Source organism: Homo sapiens, chromosome 3 (genome assembly GCF_000001405.40).
Source record: "Homo sapiens chromosome 3, GRCh38.p14 Primary Assembly".
NCBI lineage: Eukaryota > Metazoa > Chordata > Mammalia > Primates > Hominidae > Homo > Homo sapiens.
The window spans coordinates 43292328-43310198 of NC_000003.12; the positions used below are offsets into that span (position 1 = coordinate 43292328).

Genomic DNA, 17871 nt, shown 5'->3' on the forward strand with positions numbered 1-17871 from the left:
TGTGTTGCTTTCATGTTAATATGTAAAGGATTTTCCTCTTTCATTGAGGCTCTTTGATGAGAAGCTTTTCCTGTGCATTTTTTATTCTTTAATGACGCTTTGACTAAACTTAAGTATAATTCAAACACAGATATGTGGTGAATTAGTTAGTATGGCAAATTTTCCATTTGTTTTGTCCAGCACGGTTGCTTAAATGATGAGCCAGTAGGTATTCTTCAGAATCAGCTGTAGGTATTCTTCAGAATCAGCTGCCTCTCTTAAAATTTATCTGACTTCCACTCCCAAATCATCACTTCACCTAAACTGGTGTTCTTTCCTAAGCCAGCCAGCTGTAGGCACTCTTACTTTGTTTCTTGTTTACCCCACTTTCAGGAATGGTGTTCCTCTACTCCTGTTGAAGGATAAGCCCTGGTCTGTGGGCTGCACCAGTCCTTGGTGAGCCTGCCATCTATAGTGTCCTCTATTCTTCCTCTGACATGCCTCACCTAGGCTCACTTGTGTAATTATTTCTCTTTTTATATGGGGATACTATTTTCTTTTCTTTTTTTTAAGTACTGGGATACATGTACAGAATGTGCAGGTTTGTTACATAGATATACATGTGCCATGGTGGTTTGCTGAACTGTAGGTCCTGTTTTCCTAAATCATTTTTAAGATTTGAATGGACAGGGACTGTGTTGTGTCCTGTACAGTTAAGGCTCAAATTATTTGTTAATGAAAATGACTTAGTGTTTCTGTTATTCAGACTGAAGCAGTTGCATACCTTTCTTTTCTTTTTCTTTTTCTTCTTTTTTTGAGACAGGCTCTTGCTTTGTCTCCCAGGATGGAGTGCAGTGGCTGATCTCGGCTCACTACAGCATGGATTCTTGAGCTCCGGTGATCAGCCTGCCTCAGCTTCCCAAAGTGCTGGGGTTACATACAGGTGTGAGCCACCACGTTGGGCTGCATACCCTCTTTCTCAGAGGAAGTAAATATTTCATTGAATATGCCTTGTTTATTAACATTACATAAATAGGCATTAGATAGTATAGTACGCAGTGTATTTTCAGAAAAATTGGTGTATTTCATAGATCTCTTAATGGAAAAGTAAATGGAATGAATAATTATGTACAGAAAGTCAAAAATTGAGTAGTCTCTGCCTTTCCTGGAGTATGAAAGCAGCACATATGCACTGTCAAAAATTTTAAAAGAACAGAAAAGCATAAAGAGAAAAAATATCCTGTAATCTTACTAATTTAACATTTTAAGTTTTTAAAATATATACATTCATACAGATTATATGCTTTTTATGAAAGATTGGGACAGGCCAGGTATAGTGGCTCACCCCTTGTAATCCCAGCACCTCGGGAGGCCAAGGCAGGTGAATCACTTGAGGTCAGGAGGTCAAGACCAGCCTAGCCAATATGGCAAAACCCCATCTCTACTAAAAAAAAAAATTAAAATTAGCTGGGTGTGGTGGCATGTTCCTGTAATCCCAGTTACTTGGGAGGCTGAGGCAGGAGAATTGTTTGAACCTGGGAGGTTGAGGTTGCATTGAGCCAAGATTGTGCCACTGCAATCCAGCCTGTGTGACAGAGTGAGGCTCTGTCTCAAGAAAAAAAAAAAGATTGGAATTACATGCTGTGAAGTTTGGTATATACAATTTTTTTTAAACTTAACATTATGTTGTGAGACTTTCCCCATGAAATGTAGTAGCCTCAAAATATGGTAGCATACTGTTAACGTTGGGTATATTGTGTTTTATTTAACCATCTCCTTATTGTAGACCTTTAGATGATTTGATTTTCTTTTGCATGTATAAATATCACTGAACATTGTTGAATATAAATATTTGTCCTCACCTTTCTTTGAGACATGAATCTAGTAGTAAGTTTATAGTCAAGGATATTAATTATTTTAAGGCTTTTGAGACAGATTGAGTATCTCTTGTCTAAAATGCCTAGCATCAGAAGTGTTTTGAATTTTGTCAGATTTTGTAACATTTGCAATATACATAATGATGGGACCCAAGTCTAAACATGAAATTAATTTCTGTTTCATTTATACCTATACATATATGCTAAAGGTAATTTTATACCCCATTTTTAATAATTTTATGCATGAAACAAAGTTATTACTGCATTTCCTCTCAAAAACTAATAGAAACTGTGATTGGTCACATGAGGGTTTTTTTTAACTTGTGGTGTCTTGTTGGCACTGAAAGTTTCAGATTTTGGAGCATTTTGGATTTCGTATTTTCACCTTAGGGATGCTCAACCTGTACACATATTGCCAAATTGTTTTTCAGAAAGGTAGCTTGCTTGCAGTCCCACCAGTGTAAGAGAATTCCTGGAATGAGCCTGTCTTTGAGTCAAAGTCAGTGAAATGTTAGGTGCCAGTATTTTGGTTTATTGATTAGTTTTTTTTTTTTTCTGTTCCACAATTCTTTTTTTGACCATTTTTTAATGATCACTTTTATCAAAATATTAGGAGGAATAAAAAGATGGTAGGGAGTTAAAGTGAGTTTTGACAGTGTTAATAAAAGCTTTAGATCAGAGATTTAGATTATTAAAATTCTCCATAACTTAATATTCTGTTTTCCTGGGCACAATAAGTAATTGTGGGTTGGCTTTATTTATTTTGGAGTAATTTCTATACACCCAGCTTTTGTTTAAGTCATTACTTATTATGTGAACACTTAATGCTGGAGTTGTCACCATACTAATTTTTAAGTCCTACTTACACGTAGGCAGAAATGATGACATGCTTAGCATTTTTCATCACTTTGACCAAGAGGCAGAATCTGTTTAGGAATTTCATCTGTGTTGCTGGTCCAGGTCTTGTGGCTTGGATGTTAATCTCTTCCTCTCTACAAATACTAAGTACTGTACATCAGTTAATGATTTGCCTAACTCCTGAGTACATTCAGATTACTTGATATATGTTGGACTGCAGCTTGTTTTACTTAGAGCAAATAAAGATTACTTAAACCAGTACTTCAAGGATTCTGCATTGGCAACCAAATCATTGCCTCAAGAAACTGGAACAGGCTTCTCACCATGACATTCCTAGTCCCCTCAGCGGCCCCTAGCCCATCAAATTGATGAAAACGAAGAACATACTTTAGTAAGCAGCTACCTTGTCTTGGAAAATGCTTTCTTAGAGACTCAGGAGTACAAATTGCTGGAAAGAACATTTCTAATAATAAATGACTTTAATCTGTTAATTTGTAGATCCCATCTTGATTCCATCCAGTGATTGCAGACTGGTAACTGCATAACCACATAGTAATACAACCAATCCAGTGAAAAACTCTGAATTCTTTTACAACTTAGGGCCTATTGACCTGTTTATGGTTCTTATCTTTGGTTTATAGCTTATATTAATAACTCCTAGGAGGAGGCATGCTGTCCTTAAAAAGTGAAATATTGTTTACTTTTTTTTTGTTTTGAGACTGAGTCTCACTCTTTTGCTCAGGCTGGAGTGCAGTGGCGTGATCTCTGCTCACTGCAACCTCCACCTCCTGTGGTCAAGCGATTCTCCTGCCTCAGCCTTCCGAGTAGCTGGGACTACAGGCCCATGCCACCACGCCCAGCTAATTTTTGTATTTTTAATAGAGATGGGGTTTCAACATGTTGGCCAGGCTGGTCTCAAACTCCTGACCTCAAGTAATCTATCCGCTTTGGCCTCCCAAAATGCTGGATTACAGGTGTGAGCCACCACGCCTGGCCAAAATATTATTTACTTTGAATAAAGAAAACAGCAGTGGTGACTGCATGATAGGGTTGTGTTTATTTTGCTTGACTTAAAGGTTATTCCTGGAAGACTTAGTTTACTGTCTTCCTTTCAGCCTATACCATTTTTAAAATTTTAGCAGTAAAATCAGGTTGGTAATATCATTGAGAGAGTGTTAATTCCTTTACTTAAGTTGGTTTTTCTATAGATGTACAATTTGGTCTACTGTTTCTCAGGAAGGATTACAGTTTTCATTTCTTGGTATGTGTAAAATATACCAGATAATTTATATGTATGAGAAGCTTAAATGCAGTTTTAGTGTAGCTTTGCAAAAACTCAACTTTTAGTTGTTTGTATTAGATGGATATACTGGCATATATATATATATATATGTATATATATATATTTAAGCATTTAATATGTTTGAGAGGAATATTGGTCGTCTGATTTTGGAGGAAAACTTATATTCTAAATGAAATGTTTATTATAGATAAGCTATAGAAGTAGTACAATTTTTGTGCACAGCCCTTTTTGTTCAACTCCTCTACTTTCTCATGCCATGGATTGGTTCACAGTGGTATCCAGGCAGAGCTGCCTTTGTTGAGCATACTGTTTTGTCCCTACCTCTCTCTAAGAGGTGTGAGGAAGAGGCATTTGTTTGATGTACAGATGAGACTGCAATGGTGATGATGTTGATGAAAACCTAAAAGTGAGTTTTAACAAGAATAACAGGGTGAATTCCAAATTGATAGTAGGTTTAACAGAAGCTGGTTCTACAACTGTTTTCAGCAGCTTGCAAAACGTGTGTAGGGCCACCCACACTTCCTTCCTCTTCTCCAGCCACACCCACATGCTTCAGTTGCTTCTGCTGTCTTCAGTAGGAGAACATCAGTATATTCTTGCAGCACATAACAGTACTTGTTTCTCAGACATAAGTTTTTATATTATGAGCACTCTTGGCAAGTTGGCCTATTTCATTTAGGTCCAGCCTAGTTATATGCCTGTGCTAAATAAAAAGGTTGCTCTAGAATGGCCTATCTAGTGGTTGCTGTGTAAAGACATGTTATCTTAGCTGTATAGTCATTTAAAATATTGATCTAGAAGAACTTAGTGCATGGGAAAATGTTCAGTTTATAAAATAGAGGAAAAAGTAGTTATCAAACTTCATGTCGAAAATCTTAGCTTTGTAAAGAACTGTTAAGTATAGAGGATGTACACTCGGACCTGATGAGAAGTCATCATAGATGAGCGTATAGGTGATTTTTACTTTCTTCTTTGTGCTTTTATGCATTTTCTAAACTTTCTAAAGTGAAAGTCTTGTATTAACTTTTCCAGCTTGTTTTTTGGAGAGAAGTATTGTGAAAATAGTTACAAATCTCTTTTTACCCTGACATCCCCCCAAGCCCGTAAGTATTATCCCCATTTTATTTTTTAAAATTGTGTCTGGCCATATATTATGAATAGAAAATAATTTGAAAGAATCTATACCAAAATGTAAAGCGATGTTATCATAAAGGGTGGGATAATGGATTTTTTTTTCAAAATTCCTCCCCCCCTTTTTTACTAGTCTGTATGTTCTAATTGTAGTTTTCTCCTGAATTAAACAGATTTTTCTTTCATAATTGTTTTTGAGATTTTCTGTAAGAATATATTTGATGTGAAAAAATGTAAAGGAGTATTAAGTCCTTTTTGAAAAGCTAAATTTGATAGAAAATTATATTAATATCATTTTAAAAGCAAATACTTACATTTTGTGAGATATTTTATTGAAAAACCCCCAGTCTTTGATGCCTAACTAGAGACATTATTTCCTATACCTTACAGCACTCATTTTCAATTTATTTTAGGAAACTGAACAGCAGTTCAGTTTCTGAACTGGTCTATCTTATGAAAGCAAAAGAGAGATAATAGTTTGGTGAATTCATTCGCTTGAAGTAGGGTCAGCAACTGAAAGAATTTCTGCTTGGATGGTGGGAACGTCGTCTGTAACAATGATGGTGGTGGTGGTAGCTGGTATTTACAGAATGCTTACTCTGTGCCAGGCACTATTCTAAACACTTTACCTATATTAAGTCGTTTGATCCTCACCATATCTTATGAGATTGTTTTCTTATTACTAACATTTTCTAATGAAGAAACTGACCATACAGAGAGGTGAAGGTAACTTGCTGAGTTCCTTTGGCTAGTGATTGGTGAGCTGGGATTCAAATGCAGTTGTTGGTCTTTAGAACCAGTACTTATTACTGTACTACCGCACTGCTTTGCCACAGAGACTAGGGATGAAACAGGGGCTGCTGGAAAAAGAGAAGCAGGCAAGGATAGTGGAAGGAGCTACTATATCCCTCTTGGAGCTGAAGAACCAGTCAGGTAGGCATCCCAGGGTTCATCTGTCACTAGATATGGACCTGTGCCCATGGCTTTGCCAGCCCTGTGTGTGCTGCAGAACTGTTGCTCCACATTCCCTCATTCCTGGCAGGACACTTGCTTTCATATCCAGAGGTCAACCACCTTTCCTCGTCCTTTCACCTGTCCTATCTTGTTTCCTCCATTCCCTTGCACTCCTTTTCTCCCAAGTGCATTTGAACTTTACCTGGACACCTCTCACCATTAGTGTATAGTGTAAATTATCATGTTGGCATAATGTGAATGTTTAGGCCTCTCTGTTATTCATGTAATAGTTTATTTTCATGGGAAGACCTGCAAGGCTACCTTGGTCAGTATTCCCTCATTGTGCCATGAAGTTTGGATATAAGTGATTTGCTCACATTCCTTTTGTTTGTGGTGATAGTTTCTTTGTTACTATCAAGTGACAGTCCTCGGATGATGAAGGTGCTTTGTGTGATCCCTAATGCTGGCATCATAAGTGATTTCCACTTGCCTTCTAGAGGACAGTGTGTTGTAAAGCTTGCCGTCCTTGGCTGCTATAGCGTGAGGGTTTCATGAGCCTTTAGGGGCTCCTAGAGACTGGGTGGTTTTGGTGCCAGGCTGAGCATGATTGGAGCTAGAGACTGCTGCTTCACAGGCAAGTTAAGCCTCATTGTACCTACTATGCAGTTTCATGGGGAGGATTCAGTGAAATGTGAGTTCGGGGCCTGTTGCAAGAGGCATTTTAAAAATGGCAATTGTACTGTTGTTCATTATTATTATTATTTTTGAGATGGAGTCTCGCTTTGTCACCCAGGTTGGAGTGCAATGGCGCCATCTCGGCTCATTGCAACCTCCGCCTCCTGGGTTCAAGCAAGTCTCCTGCCTCAGTCTCCTGAGTAGCTGGGATTACAGGCGCCCGCCTCCACGCCTGGCTAATTTTTGTATTTTTAGTAGAGACGGGGTTTCACCATATTGGTCAGGCAAGTCTTGAGCTCCTGACCTCATGATCCACCTGTCTCGGCCTCCCAAAGTGCTGGGATTACAGGCGTGAGCCACCGCACCCGGCCTTGTTCATTATTATTTCTTCATTCCAGTGGAATAATTTTTCTGACCTGTCTACCTGGAACAATCTCTGTTCACTCTGAAATCCCTGTTTATTAAATTTCGCTTAAAGGAGTTGTAATTCACAGAAGGCAGAAGGATAATAGGAGACTGGGTTACTAAAGACAAATTTTACTATTTTTATACATGTGTCTAGATCCAGCCTTAGAGTATATACTTTGACTTTAAGCAAAATTCAAACAAATAGAACTAAACCTGTATCTTTTTCTTTATTTTCTTTTAGGAAAAAGAAGCAACTAACAAAACACTGTGATAATAAGGATTATTCAGTATGCAGTTTGCAGGGTATGTCTTGGAGACAGTACAAATTCACCTTTACTTTATATAAGCCACATCTTAACATTGGGCATTGATGTTCAGAATGACTTTTGGGAGCTGCAAGATCCTCAGAGATCAAAAAAAATGATTTAGTTACTTTGTACTCTAACTCAAAATGTACTTAATAGTAGGATTAGACAGTAGACTAGTGTTTAAAAAGATGTTCAGGAACAAGGATATTTTTCGTCTAAACTTTCAGTTAATCATTGTGTCCTGTTCTTAGCTATACAATTTAATTGTGGTTTCATAGACTATGGAAAAGGGGTGCTCATATAAAAAGTAAATTATTTGGTAGTAAGAGTGATTGTTTCACTATAGGGTACTCATTGTGAAGATACCAATTAGATTATTTCTATTTAATCTATAGCTTGCTATAGATTAAAAATCATTTCACTGTGCCCTCTTGCTGGCAAAGGTTTGGGAAGAGAAACATTAGGGTTTAATAGTACTTATCTCTAGGTGTCTGAGGCTCTGAAAAAAAAGCTTTTTCATTTATTTTTGTAATAAAACTTTTATTTTCAAAAATCAGATTCATTTATAAAATCTGATTTATATGTCACTTTCCAGGAACACATCTAAACTAAAATGATAGATGAAAAGAACAAAGTTATATAACTTGGGGGCAGCCTGAAGGAATGTGTTTTGAAAGCTAAAGTGGCATTTGCAAGCTTATGCAATAGCAACAGACTTGGGTGGAATTTTAAGCATAATTATTGCCCTTGTAATTAATTGAAGTTAAATATTTAAAGATAGTTTCCTGCCCCCCCCCCAGAGTTTTTATATTTGAAAATTAAATATACCCAAATTAAAATTTCTTTTGGGGAACTGCTGTCCAAATAAAGCAAGGTCTTTCAATTTGGATTTTCCTGTTAATCCTGTCATTAAAGTTATTAGTTCAGATGACAGGGATAATATACATATGGAAGAAATTTGCTTCCCCCCACACACACCTAGGCATTGTATCAGTTTCTTATTTAAAAATCTTAATAGTTTAAAAATCTTAATAGCAGGATTAATAGTTTTGGTTCTGAAATCAGTTTGCAGACACAGCGTAGCATAGTGTTTTAAAGCACGGACTTTGGTGTCAGACAGCCGTGGGTTTCAGTCCCAGCTCTTTTACACACTGGCCATTTGGCCTAGGCCAAGTTACTGTGCCTCAAAAGGGGGTTAATAATTCCTGTCTTTGAGGGGAATTGTGAGGATTGAATGAGGATAATGTGAAGTATTTGGTATGTGACTGGTGTGTAATACTCATTCAGTAAATGGTAGTGCTATTTATTATTACAATAATTACTAAAGTGCAAAAAATATATTAGTAAACATATTAACATTGACTTTTTGAACTTATAATTTAACATACATAAATTTTTTGAGGGGGTTCTAGGTATGCAATTCAGATCATTTCTGAAGTGGTATAAATATAAAAGTGACTTTATGCTTCTTTTATAGTTGGTATTTTAACTCTAAAAATAATATTATCCTAAATGGGGCATTGATTAGAGTGGCCAAATGTTTATAAACAATGTGGGCTTTGAAATGTATTAATTAGGTGTGAATCCTAGGTTTTGTAGTTAATGTCACTTGTACCTAGAGCAGCCTATTGCCTTAGCTATAAAAATGAGACCAGTGCTGACTGGCCAGGCACGGTGGCTCCAGCCTGTAATCCTTGTACTTTGGGAGGCCAAGGCAGGAGGATTGCATGAGGCCAAGAGTTCAAGACCAGCCTGAGCAACATAGCAAGACCCTGTCTCTAATAAAAATAAATAGCAGTTTTTAAAAATTAAAAAAAAACTTACCTATTATATGTCAAATTTCGTTTTTTGGGATATTTTTATCTAAGTGGACTCAATAATTAATGCTCTTAATATGTAACTGAAAATGTGAAACTGTATATTGAGAGCAGTAGAAAAAGCTTCGTCAAAGGGATAGATACTGACTAATGGGAGAGAGCTAGCCTTAGGAGGTTGCTATATTCCTTGTTGGATTTTGTTACTCAGTTCTATTAAATGTTGGTCAGAACAAAAGTGAGGGTTCAGCCTGTGAGATATAAAGTTGCATCTTGTTTAATTTTATACACGTTTGTTTTTCTGAGTCATTGTCATTTATAAATAGGAACCTATTTCTATTCATTTATTGTAAAAGTTGAAATTTTTAAGTACAGTACGAAATGTGGTTCTTAAAAACCAAATGATTTTTAAGACTTAAATCATCTGTAAGAATGCATGCCTGTTTACTCTTGGAATATAATCACGTTATGCTGGGTTGTGATTGACAGTTGGAAAACAATCATTAAAAATCAGCATAACTGCTGAGTACCAGTAAATTAACAAATATTTACTAAGTACCTACTACCATATACCTAGAACCCCCTCAAAACATTTATATAAATTCAATTATAAGTTTAAAAAGTCAATGTTAATATGTTTACTGATATGTTAAGCACCTACTATGTGCCAGGAGCTTATCCTAAACAGTAGTGATGCAAGAGCAAACAATTACCTCCTAAACATTTTGGAAAAAGTTGCATTTCAAAATTTAATAAGACAGTTTTGATTATATGCTATTTGTAACCACTGTTCTAGGTGTTGGGGGAAAGTAGAAGAAAAAAAAATAGAACCTTAGAATAGAAAATCCCTGAGAACCTGCTACTGTCAGGTTAGAGGAGATGGTGTACCCAAATACCTGTAGAATAAGACCACATAGAATAGAGGTGTCCCAAGGTGCTCTGGGGATATTGAGGAGAGAAGGTAATTCCAGCTGGGAGAGTTAGAGAAACCTTCACAGAATGGATTTTTTTTTTTTTTTTTGCACTTAAAGGAAGTGGTGTTGGTCTTGGGGAAACTGAAAAGTTGTTGGGTTTCTGTGCAAATGTTTATTCTTTGTGTTTTCCCTTGTCAACTGTTGCGTTATTTTTTAAGACACTAAAATTCCTTTTAGAAAATGTTTGTTTTTTAAACATGCTTATCAAACTTGCCAGTTTTCTTATTACTCACATCACCAAAAAATTGCTTCCAATGAACTAATTTTTTTTTCAGTTTGCAAAAACTTGATATGGTATTTAAATTCAGCCTTTGTAATATAAAGTCTAAATGTAAAAATAGGTTTTATTAATGACCCTGACTCATTTTTTATCTCAATTTATTTTCTTCAAGTTTCTCTTAAAATGAAAAAAACAAAAAATGAAGTGATTTTAAAGTTTGTGAAGAAAAGTCGCAGAAACTTAATTTTGTTTCTCTTCTTATTTTGTAGATATCCATGACGACATTGAAAATGAATTTTTTGTATTCACCAGATATTCTTATATGAGAAGATCTATTTTAAACAGTCTAAATATTTTTTCTTCTGTTGGACCAGCATGGCAGGATTTAAGCGAGGGTATGATGGAAAGATTGCTGGATTATATGATCTGGATAAAACCTTGGGTCGAGGCCATTTTGCCGTGGTTAAACTTGCCAGGCATGTCTTTACGGGTGAAAAGGTGGCAGTAAAAGTTATTGACAAGACAAAACTGGACACTCTAGCTACTGGTCATCTTTTCCAGGAAGTGAGATGCATGAAACTAGTGCAGCATCCTAACATCGTCCGCCTTTATGAAGTTATTGACACCCAGACCAAACTATATCTTATTCTAGAACTTGGGGATGGAGGAGATATGTTTGATTATATAATGAAACATGAGGAGGGTCTTAATGAAGACTTGGCCAAGAAGTATTTTGCTCAGATAGTTCATGCTATATCTTATTGCCATAAACTCCATGTGGTTCACAGAGACTTAAAACCAGAGAATGTAGTCTTCTTTGAAAAACAAGGTCTTGTAAAGTTGACAGACTTTGGGTTCAGCAACAAATTTCAACCAGGGAAGAAGCTCACTACAAGCTGTGGATCTCTTGCATATTCCGCTCCAGAAATTCTGCTTGGTGATGAGTATGATGCACCTGCAGTAGGTAGGTAACCTCGGTCCAGTATTTGGCCATTTGAATTCTGCCAGCTAGAGTTGGTCAGATCGGTTGTTTATCTAAAAATGATTTCTAGAGAATTTCTGTTAAATTGGCCTTAACTAGCAAATTGGGTTTCATAAATGCCATATATGCCTAAAGCTGGCATTTCGTTTATTTCAACCTTTAGATGGCAAATGTCTAAAGTATATTTGTGAGTACAAAGGAAAATGAGTAAGTTATCATTTAAAGTAATCTCTTTTCTGTTCATTGTCATTTTTTTCTTAAGGTCTGAATGCTTTTCCTCAGATTTTTCTTTTAGTGGCTCTCTTTAGCCATCTCCTCTCTGTGCATATCGTCTAACAATCATTGGAGACCCATATTGGAAAGGTACTGTGAATATTACAGTGCAATATAAAGAATTTGGGTATTAGAATCATTTATTAACTGTGAACTTGAACAAGTGCTTGACCTCTCTGCTTCATTTTTTATCCATAATATAATATTGAATCAGGTACAGGTGTAGCACTCCCATATTATCTTGTTTACTTTTCACAGCGACCCGTGGGGTTGTTATTGTCTATCTCATTGTTCAGAATAGGAAACTGACATACAGAGGCTTTCTGTATGGTGGATTCTGGAATTGTGGTACCTTTGGCATTCCTAACTACCTTCTTTCCCTCTCCACACACTTTGTGCTCTTTCACTTGTCAAGATTTATCTATTTGTGGTGAAAGTATTTACTGCCTTTCAGTTTGTGTCAACTTTGTCTCCTTGGGATTGTATTTGTTTTGAAGATCATGTAGGAATTTGTTCTTAATTTTTTTAAAGGATTTGTTGATCCGAAGGTGCAGTCAGCTTTTTAATTTGTTAATCTTGGAAAAAAATACATGCACATGATGTCAGATTCATATGTATGAGTATTCTGCTTGCATTTGTGGTAATTTGAAATGCAGGTTAAAGGATTAATGACAAAGGTGCACTTAACATTGAAGAGTGTTGATGTTATATTGAATACTCTGTACACCAAGACACTGATTTTCATGTTATGACTATCATGTTCTGGAAAAGAAAGGGTTAATGAGCAGTTTCTGCCTACTACAGATAACTAGACTTCACTGAAGTCTTTCATTAGAATATCTGAGCGGAGATTTTTGATTAATGGAGCCATTCTAATCAGACAGTGAAGCCAGGAATTTCCAGGAGAGGAAACACAAATGTCTACCCAAGAAAAAATCTTCACCCTCATTAGTGCAGATTTAATAAGAGTATCTTATTAAAAATAAAGTACTCTTTAAATCTATTAAAAATAAGATACTCTTTCATACTTTTCACATTGGGAAAAACTGAAGTCAGACAAAACTAAGTGTTGGTAAGACCATAGAATATCAGGAACTCTTATTTAGAAGACAGTTTGGCAATATCTGGTAAAGGTAAAGATGTACACATCTGATAACCTAGCAGTTCTCTCCTATATATGCACCTCAGAGTAGCTCTCACTTATGCATACAAGAGATTTTCAAAGAACGTTTTTAACAGCATTGTTGAATGTACAGCAGGGGAATAATTCGTTCAGTATTCATATTCTGTATACGGTGAAAATTAAACAATTTGCCAACATGATTGGATCTCACAAGCATACTTTTTAAGAGAAACAAAGCAAATTGATGAAGAGTACATATAACATTTATATACAATTTTTTTTTTTTTTTTTTTTGAGACAGAGTCTCGTTCTGTCACCCAGGCTGGAGTGCAGTGGTGCCCTGTCGGCTCTCTGCAAGCTCTGCCTCCTGGGTTCACACCATTCTCCTGCCTCAGCCTCCCGAGTAGCTGGGACTACCGGCCCCCTGCCACCACGCCTAGCTAATTTTTTTTTTATTTTTAGTAGAGACGGGGTTTCACCGTGTTAGCCAGGATGGTCTTGATCTCCTGACCTCGTGATCCACCCGCCTCAGCCTCCCAAAGTGCTGGGATTACAGGCATGAGCCACCGCACCCAGCCAACATTTATATAAAATTTTAAAACATACAAAGCAGTGTTATATATTGTTTAGGAGTACATGAACATGTAGTACATGTAGTAAACTCTGAAGAATGCATGAGAGCAAGATAGGTTACTTCTGAGGGGCAGGCATATCTGTAGGCTTTCAGCTGTATTGGTGATGTTTATTTTTGAAGTTGGGTGGTGGGTACACAGGAGTTCATTGTAATGTTCCTTTTTCTTCCCCCCTTATGTCTTAAATATTGCATAATAAAACTTTTAAAAAGCTATTAAAAAAGGAAAAGAAAACCACTTGGGAAGATGTTCACCAGTCTGATAAATGATTACCGTGTGTTGGTGAAGTAGGCTTGGGTGGAGTTCATAGGTAACTTTTTCATTTTCATTATTTATAGTTATTTCAATTTATATTGTGTGATGTGTGATTGAAATAAATATAGAATTGCTATTTTTAAAAAAAAGGACAGGTGTCTTTCTGTTAATCTACATTAGTTTATCATGCCAAAATTAGTCAGTGATTTTTCACAAATGTTTAGTAAAATGAGCATACACAAATATTAAAATCTGTCATTATATTGTGAGATGTTACTAAATAAAAAAACTTTGGTTCTTTTTTTTGAATAAGTGTTTTATAGTATACTGGTCCTCAGCATTGAGACTTAGCTGAGGAATTGTCTATTTTATTATTATTTTCAAAAGATCAGATTTGATTTTATCAACTATACTTTTTGTTTTAGATGTCATTTTTTTTCTTTCATCTTTATTCTTTCTAGGATCTTTGAGGTTTCCTATTTTTTAATAGCATCATGTATCAAAAGCTTATTTCTGTGTGTCTTGATTTCTAACAAATGGTTTATTAATGCTATTTAGAAGACAATTTGGCAATATCTGATGTGTACATCTTTAACTTTAATGCTATATGATGCCCTCTCCCACAATCCCTGATGACATTCTAGGGGTTTCACTCTGCAGTTGTCCTTGCTAAAATTTGTCTTTGGTTTCTTACTTAACTGAAAAGTTATTTAGAAAGGTGTTCCTTTTTAAAAATTCCAAATGGATAGATTTATTTTTCTCTTTAGTTGTCTGGTTTTTAACTTCTAATTTTAGTACATTGAAGTTAATTTATGCCCAATTGATTTCTGCTTCGGATACTATTTTTAGATTTTCTTTGTGGCTTGATACATGGTAATTCATACCATGGTGACTGTTCTTTATGTGATTAAAATATTTGTATACTTGGAGTTTTTATACATACTTAAGATTATGCATTATGCACCTTGTTCCTTTGTACCCTTACATGTTTTTATTCTGACCTGTCATTTTCTGAGAGAATAATGGTAGTCTTCTATTCTCATCTGTGAATTTTGTAATTTAACCATTTTTTGCTTTATACATGGTATTGTCAAGCTATAATTGACAATAAAGATATTAAAAGTTTCTAATATATTTTACATGATGAGTTATACCTTTTATCAATACGAAAGTATACTCCTTGATACATATTGCCTTAAATTCTGTTTTGTCATTGCTTTAGATTTATCCCTTTTAAACAAAGGCATACCTCATTTTATTGTGCATAACTTTATTGCACATCTCAGATCTTGCGGTTTTTTTGTTTATTTACAAATTGAAGGTTGCCGCAACCCTTCATCAAGCAAGTTTCTTGGCACCATTTTTGCAACAGCATATGCTGACATCATGCCTCTCTGTCACATTTTGGTAATTCTCAAAATATTTTAAACTTTGTCATTATTTATTTTTTATGGTGATCTGTGATCAGTGATCTTTAATGTTACTATTGTAGTTGTTTTGGGGTGCCAGACACAGCACCCAGATAAGACAGCAAACTTAACCAATAAATGTTGTATGTGTTCTGACTGTTTTACCTACCAGCCATTCCCCCATCTCTCTCTCTCTCTGTCTCTCTCTCTCTTCTTGGGCTTCCCTATTCTCTGAGATACAACAATATTGAAATTAGGCCAATTAATTACAGTGGCCTCTAAGTGTTCAAGTGAAAGGAAGAGTGGTACATCTCTCACTTTAAGTCAAATGCTGGAAATGATTAAGCTTATCGAGCAAGACATAGTGAGGCAAGATAGACTGAAAGCTAGGCTTCTTGCACCTAATAGCCAAGTTATGAATGCAAAAGAAAAGTTCTTGAAGGAAATTAAAAGTGCCACTCCAGTGAACACACGAATGGTAAGAAAGTGAAACAGCCTTATTGTTGATATGAAGAAAGTTTTAGTGGTGTGGGTAAAAGATCTAACTAGCCACAATATTCCCTTAAGCCAAAACCTAATCCAGAGCAAGGCCCTAACTCTCTTCAGTTCTCTGAGGGCTAAGAGAGGGGAGGAAGCTGCAGAGGAAAAGTTTGAAACTAGCAGAGTTTGATTCATGAGGTTTAAGGAAAGAAGCCATCTCCATAACATAAAAGTACAAGATGAAACAGCAAGTGCTAATGGAGAAGCTGCAGCAAGTTAGCCAGAAGATCTAGCTAAGATAATTGATGAAGCTGGCTCCACTGAACAACAGATTTTTGATGTAACTAAAACAGCCTTCTATTGGAAGAAGATCCCATGTAGGACTTTCATAGCTAGAGAGGAGAAGTCAATGCCTGGTTTCAAAGCCTCAAAAGGCAGGCTGACACTCTTTGTTATGGGTAAATGCAGCTGGCCACTTAAAGTTGAAGCCATGCTCATTGACCATTCAGAAAATCCTAGGGCCATTAAGAATTAAGCCAAATATACTCTACCTGTGCTCTATAAATGGAACAACAAAGCCTGAATGACAACACATCTGTTTACAGCATAGTTTACTGAATTTCTTAAGCCCACCATTTTAGACCTACTACTAAGAAAAAAACATTCCTTTTAAAATACTGCCACTCATTGACAATGCTCCTGGTCACCCAAGAGCTCTGATGGAGATGTACAAGGAAATTGATGTTGTTTTCATGCAGATAACACAGCATCCATTCTGCAGCCCGTGGATCAAGGAGTAATTTTGACTTCCAAGTCTTTACTATTTAAGAAATGCATCTTGTAAGGCTATGGCTGCCATTGGTAGTAATTCCTCCGATCCATCTGGGCAAAGTAAGTTGAAAACCTGGAAAGGATGCACCATTAAGTACATTTGTGACTCATGGGAGGAGGTCAGAATATCAGCATTAAGAGGAGTTTGGAAGAAGTTGATTCCAGCCCTCATGGATGACTTCGAGGGGTTCACAGTTTGTGGAGGAAATAACTGCATATGTGGTGGAAATAGGAAGAGAAATAGAAAGGGAGCCTGAAGATATGATTGAATTGCTGCAGTCTCTTGATAAAACTTGAATGGATGAGGAGTGGCTTCTTGTGGATGAGCAAAGAAAGTGTTTTTTTTTAGTTGTTGTTGTTTTATCTTAATTTTTTTAAATCCATGAATGCAGGTGAAGAAAGTGGTTTCTTGAGATGGATTCTATTAGTGAAGATGTGAATATTGTTGAAATGACAACAAAGGATTTAGACTATTATGTAAACTTACATAGTAAGTTTGATAAAGCAGTGGCAGGGTTTGAGAGAATTGACTTCAGTTTTGAAAGAGGTTCTACAGTTCTACTGTAGGTAAAATATGTCAAACAGTGTTGCATGCTAGAGATAAATCTTTCATGAAAGGAAGAATCAAATGATGCAGCAAACTTCATTCTTGTCTTATTTTAAGAAATAGCCACAGCCATGCCAACCTTCAGCAACCACCACCCTGATTAGTAAGCAGCCATCAACATCAAGGCAGGAACTTCCACCAGCAAAAAGATTATGCCTTGACTCATTGAAGGCTCATTTTTTAGAAATAAGGTTTTTTTTTTTTTTTATTCTTTGAGATAGGGACTCTCTCTGTAGCCCAGGCTGGAGTGTAGTGGCATGATCATAGTTCGTTGCAGACTTGAACTCCTGGGCTCAAGCAATCCTCGCACTTCAGCCTCCTGAGTAATTGGGACTACAGGCGTGCACCACCACATCCAGCTAATTTTTAAAGTTTTGTAAAGATAGAGTCTTACTATGTTGCCTGGGCTGGTCTTGATAAAGTTTTTTTTGTTGTTTGTTTGTTTTTTTAATTTTTTGCCCGTGACACAGCCCCGGGAGATTCTGAGAAAATGTGCCCCTCGTAAAGTATTTTTAAATTAAGGTATGTACATTATCTTTTATAGACATAATGCTGTTGCACATTTAATAGACTACGGTATAGTATAAACATAACTTTTTATGCACTGGGAAACAAAAAAATTTGTGTGTCTCGCTGTATTGCAACATTCGCTTTATTTCAGTGGTCTGGAACCGAACCCACAGTATCGCTGAGGTATGCCTGTGTATAGCTGTATTTCGTGTCTAATCTATGAATCAGTCTTTGAATAGGTGGATTTAATTTATTTATATTTATTATT

The 17871-nt window shown here is 36.2% G+C and overlaps 1 protein-coding gene across 7 annotated transcripts in view; it reads left to right on the forward strand.

The window, feature by feature from the left end:
- The window catches only part of SNRK (SNF related kinase), a 64604-nt gene that overhangs the window by 5788 nt on the left and 40945 nt on the right, over positions 1-17871 (forward strand). For 4 of the 7 annotated variants that reach the window (XM_047448396.1, XM_005265245.4, NM_017719.5 and 1 more), the window contains 2 exons: positions 7427-7488; positions 10771-11465. The exons of 1 other annotated variant lie outside the window; for it this stretch is intronic. In XM_047448396.1, the coding sequence (XP_047304352.1) occupies positions 10877-11465 (589 nt within the window). In that variant the 5' untranslated portion in view covers positions 7427-7488; positions 10771-10876. Of the gene's footprint in view, positions 1-4604; positions 5121-7426; positions 7489-10770; positions 11466-17871 lie in introns of those variants that run through there. 2 more of the 7 variants (XM_047448398.1, NM_001100594.2) reach the window with 2 other exon arrangements.